This window comes from Homo sapiens, chromosome 8 (assembly GCF_000001405.40).
Source record: "Homo sapiens chromosome 8, GRCh38.p14 Primary Assembly".
NCBI lineage: Eukaryota > Metazoa > Chordata > Mammalia > Primates > Hominidae > Homo > Homo sapiens.
In genome coordinates this window covers 54,205,814-54,210,560 of record NC_000008.11, presented here as the reverse complement: position 1 = coordinate 54,210,560, position 4,747 = coordinate 54,205,814, and the positions used below count along the sequence as shown (strand labels likewise).

General features: G+C 47.4%; 1 annotated feature.

Moving 5' to 3' along the window:
* Positions 396-1,595: an enhancer, noted in NCBI's record as "BRD4-independent group 4 enhancer chr8:55121526-55122725 (GRCh37/hg19 assembly coordinates)". NCBI's record gives its function as "activates an origin of replication core promoter dependent on BRD2, P300/CBP, MED14 and CDK7 cofactors, and independent of BRD4, by STARR-seq in HCT116 cells {active_cell/tissue: HCT116}" and the evidence as "EXISTENCE:reporter gene assay evidence [ECO:0000049][PMID:35650434]".

Below are 4,747 nucleotides of genomic sequence, written 5' to 3'. Positions count from 1 at the left end.
AGAAATTTTTTCTGGGTTCCTTAAGTTAATCATTAACCTGATTTAAATGTCAGAAATTTAATTCTGTTGTGGAAACTTCTCAAGGATGAATGCTATAAGGGGAAAGGACCAATAATAGTTGAAATGAACATTCCCTTATGTCAGTTAGGTCTGGATTTGATGGGCAATGGGAGCATAGCATATATTCCAGCACTTGAGTGAAGTTTTCCACGCAGGTTGTGGGGAAACAAATGAGCTTCTGCACCCAGTAATGCCGGCAATTGTCTAAAAGAGACTACTCAGTGAGAGGCATGACCATAGCTGTCCTTCACCTTCTGGGAGGAAAGTCTCTCTTGTGATTTACTGGTAGCCATAAATCTTGGAAGGTCCTAGGCACCCAACAGAAATCTGACATTATTGCTGACATCATGATCTGACACTATTTCTGCTCATCAACACTGTTAGGGCAATTGAAGGGACATAGCAGCGGCAAGGGCCCAAGAAGGAGTGCAGGAAGGGAGGAGCGTTCATCAGTGTAACCTCATGCTTTCATGGAAAAGAGGGGCAAGGGGAGTAAGAATTACAGCAAGTTCCCAGGGAAAATATCTAATCTGTTTTGAGGGTGTATGTACAGTCCTCTGTTAATCTAAACAAAGATTCCCATCTGCGCGGGGATGAGGACCATCATCTCACTCTCAGTGCGGCCCCAGGTACTGTTTCCCTATCTCAACTCTTTGCCTACTAAGGGATTTTGGACTTGGTTGGGAAAATGTGCCAATGACAACACTGACCCCTCCCGCCCAAGCCTGACCTTCGGGAGGCTTGGGTTACCCTGTTGCGTGAAGTCGAGGGATTCCCAGCATGTTGGACATTCCTATCTCCTTAGCCTGCCTCCAGATAGCTCCCTTCCTTCCTGGATAGATAGAAGTATAGGTTAGCCAGGCAGGCAGGTGACCCTCACCTCCACCCCGGATTTAGTCAGAAATTTCATTCCATCATCATTATTAATAGCTGGGTGTGCTAATGTTTCCTGAAGAACATGATAAGAACCACACAAAATCTGAAGGAAACAAATCCATGACTCGGCACTTTCCCTCGTACTCGACAGCAATGGAGAGTTCCTGGTTGACCCAAGAATATCTGTGAGGCCTGGGACTCTTGCCCAATGTCTGCGTGAAAATCTAATCTTATGTGGGATAAGGGTGTGCAGCCACTGAAACTTAGAAAAATCATAGACAGACTCTGTGTAATGTCACCCTCGAGCCCTGCAGCTGCCCGAAGTCAATGAACAGAACCGCATTCTAACTACAGTGCCAGTTGCTGCTTCCTGAATTCCAATTAGTTTGCTAAAGGGAGGAAACCTAAAGTTTACTGAGAATTGTCTTCAAGGTTTTTATATGCATCTCAGATTAGTCCCTCCATCTCCCTGTGAGATAAGAAATATGGACTGATTGTAGAGGTGGAGAAGCTGAGGTTCAGAGAAGTTAAGTGATTAGCTCAAGATCACACAGCTAATTAGAAGAGCCCAAATCCAAACCTGACCTGTTCGTCTCTCAGCACCGAGCTCCTACCCCAGGCAACATGATCTGAATGGGGGCTGGGTACCCACTGGTATGGACTGAATTGTGCCTCCAATACAAAATAATTGTATGTTGAAACCATAACTCCCAATGTGACCGCATTCAGAGGTCAGGCTTTTAGGAAGGTAGTTAAGGTTCAATGAGGTCATAAGGGGGTGCCCAAAGCAATAGAACTGATGTTCTTATAAGCAAAGGAAGCCTGGGCAACACAGTGAGACCCTCTTTCTATAACATAAAAAAAAAAATTAGCCAGCCATGGTGGCACACACCTGTGATCCTGGCTACTTGGGAGGCTGAGGTAGGAGAATTGCTTGAGCTCAGGAGTTTGAGGCTGCAGTGAGCCATGATCACACCACTGCACTCCAGCCTAGGTGACAGAGTGAGGCTCTGTCTCAGAAAAGAAAAAGAACTGGCACCATGACTCTCTCTCCAAGTGAACACAAAAAAAGAGTTCATGTGAGCATCCAGTGAGAAGGTGGACATCTGCGAGCCAGGGAGAGAGGCCTCACCAGAAACCTACCCTGCAGGCACCTTGACCTTGGATTTCCAGCCTCCAGAGCTATGAGAAAATAAGTGTTCATTGTTTGGGCCATCCAGCCTTAGGGATTTTGTGATGGCAGCTTGAGCAGACTAGTACACCCACCTTGGTGCCTTTAAGACTTTCTCTTCAAAACACCTCATATAACACTCAGAAAAATGCCATGCTTACCTAATCCCACGTCCCACAGCGCCTTCCTAACCCCTACTGCCTCTCCAGCAGGGCCAGGGCTGGGTAAGGTGGGGAGGTACTTTCTTTCCCAGGGCACAAAAATGACAGGGATACCAAAAACTCAGTAATTAAATAACATTTTAATTAAATGTTTTAAAAAATCAAAATTAGGCCGGGCACAGTGACTCATGCCTGTAATCCCAGCACTTTGGAAGGCCAAGGTGGGCAAATCACGAGGTCAAGAAATAGAGACCACCCTGGCGAACATGGTGAAACCCTGTCTCTACTAAAAATACAAAAATTAGCTGGGTGTGGTGGCGTGCGCCTGTAGTCCCAGCTACTCGGGAGGCTGAGGCAGGAGAATAGCTTGAACCTGGGAGGTTGCAGTGAGCCAAGATCATGCCACCACACTCCAGCTTGGTGACAAAGTGAGACTCCATCTAGAAAAAAAAAAAAAAAGTCAAAATTAATGCAAAAACTCCATAAGACTTTGGATACTTCACAATTTTGCCCACAAACTCCGCCTCCCGGGTTCATGCCATTCTCCTGCCTCAGCCTCCCAAGTAGCTAGGACTGCAGGTGCCCGCCACCATGGCTGGCTAATTTTTCTGTATTTTTAGTAGAGATGGGGTTTCACCGTGTTAGCCAGGATGGTCTCGATCTCCTGACCTCGTGATCTGCCCACCTCGGCCTCCCAAAGTGCTGGGATTACAGGCATAGAGCCTCTGTGAGTGGAACCCAAACTTCATGCTTGAGATAACGGAACTACCCTTTTTTCCTCATTACAGATTATTAAGATGTTAAGGTCAGGCACAGTGGCTCACGCTTGTAATCCCAGCACTTTGGGAGGCCAAGGCAGGCGGATCATTTGAGGCCAGGAGTTAAAAGACCAGCCTGGCCAACATGGCAAAACCCCTTCTCTACTAAAAATACAAATATTAGACAGGCATGGTGGTGCACACCCGTAATCCCCGCTACTTGGGAGGCTGAGACATGAGAATCGCTTGAGCCCAGGAGGCAGAGGTTGCAGTGAGCCAAGATCACGCCATTGCACTCCAGCCTGGGTGACAGAGGCAGACCCTGTCTCAAAAAAATAAAAGATGTCAATAATAATCAACAAGCACGGGCTGGACACCGGCTGTGTTGTAGGCTTTGTCCTGGGTGCAGAGTATTCAGTAGTGAGCAGGGCAGATGAGGCCAGCCTCATGGAGAGGGCAGTCTGTAGGGGAACAGAAACAAGTAAGGGGCTGCAAGAGTCCACAGCACTGGGGCCACATGTGGTGCTTGCAAAGGAGAGTGGATGATAGAGGCATATGGAGGACACCTAAGCTTGAGTGAGAGCATCAGGAAGGTGCCCCTGGGGAAAGAGGCATCTTTGGCAGTTTAGCAAGTGACAGAGGTGGGAACACCCAGATCTAGGCAGAGAAGAAACATGTAAGAATCTTCAAATTGCTGCTGTTTACTGAGCACTGACAGATTACAAACATCGTGATGTTGAAAGCTCATGACATCCTGTAGGATAGGTGAGCTGCTTCCTCACACACTCCCATCTGATCCATCGACAAATTCCATTGGTTCCCATTTCAAAATAGGTAAGAGAGTCCGACCACCTCTCCCCAGATCCATCCCTACCACCCCAGTCTGAGCCTCCTAAATGGTCCCTGGCTCCCACCTTCAGTTTAGTTTAGTTTAGTTTACTTTGGTTTGGTTTTGAGACAGGGTTACACTCTGTCACCCAGGCTGGAGTGCAGCGGCATGATCATGGTTCACTGCAGCCACAACCTCCCTGGGCTCAGGTGATCATCCCACCTCAGCCTCCCAAGTAGCTGGGACTACAGGCTTGTGCCACCATGCCCAGCTAATTTTTGTATTATTTGTGGAGGTGGGTTTTCACCATGTTGCCCAGACTGGTCTCGAACTCCTAAGCTCAAGTGATCCACTTGCCTCAGCCTCCCAAAGTGCTGGGATTATGAGAATGAACCACCATGTCCACCTCCTGGTTCCTCACCTTTGCTCTCTTCAGTCATTTATCAATGTGGATGCCAGAGTCATCCTGCTAAATGATAAAGCAGATCATGCCACTTCTCTGGCTCAAGCCTTCCAATTGCTTCTCATCCTTACTCAGAGTAAAGTCAAATAAATAAAACAATCTGCCCTGCAAAGCCTCCTTCCCATGAGCCCTCTCCCTTCATCTTGTTATCACAACTCTATAATTTATGTATCTTGTTGATACGGTTTGGCTGTGTCTTCACCCAAATCTCATCTTGAATTCCCATGTGTTGTGGGAGGGACCCAGGGGGAGGTAATTGAATCATGGGGGCAGGTCTTTCCCATGCTGTTCTCATGAGAGTGAATAAGTCTCATGAGATCTGAGGGTTCTATAAGGGGGTGTTTCCCTGTACAAGCTTTCTTTTTGCCTGCTGCCATCCATGTAAGATGTGACTTGCTTCTCCTTGCCTTCTGCCATGATTGTGAGGCC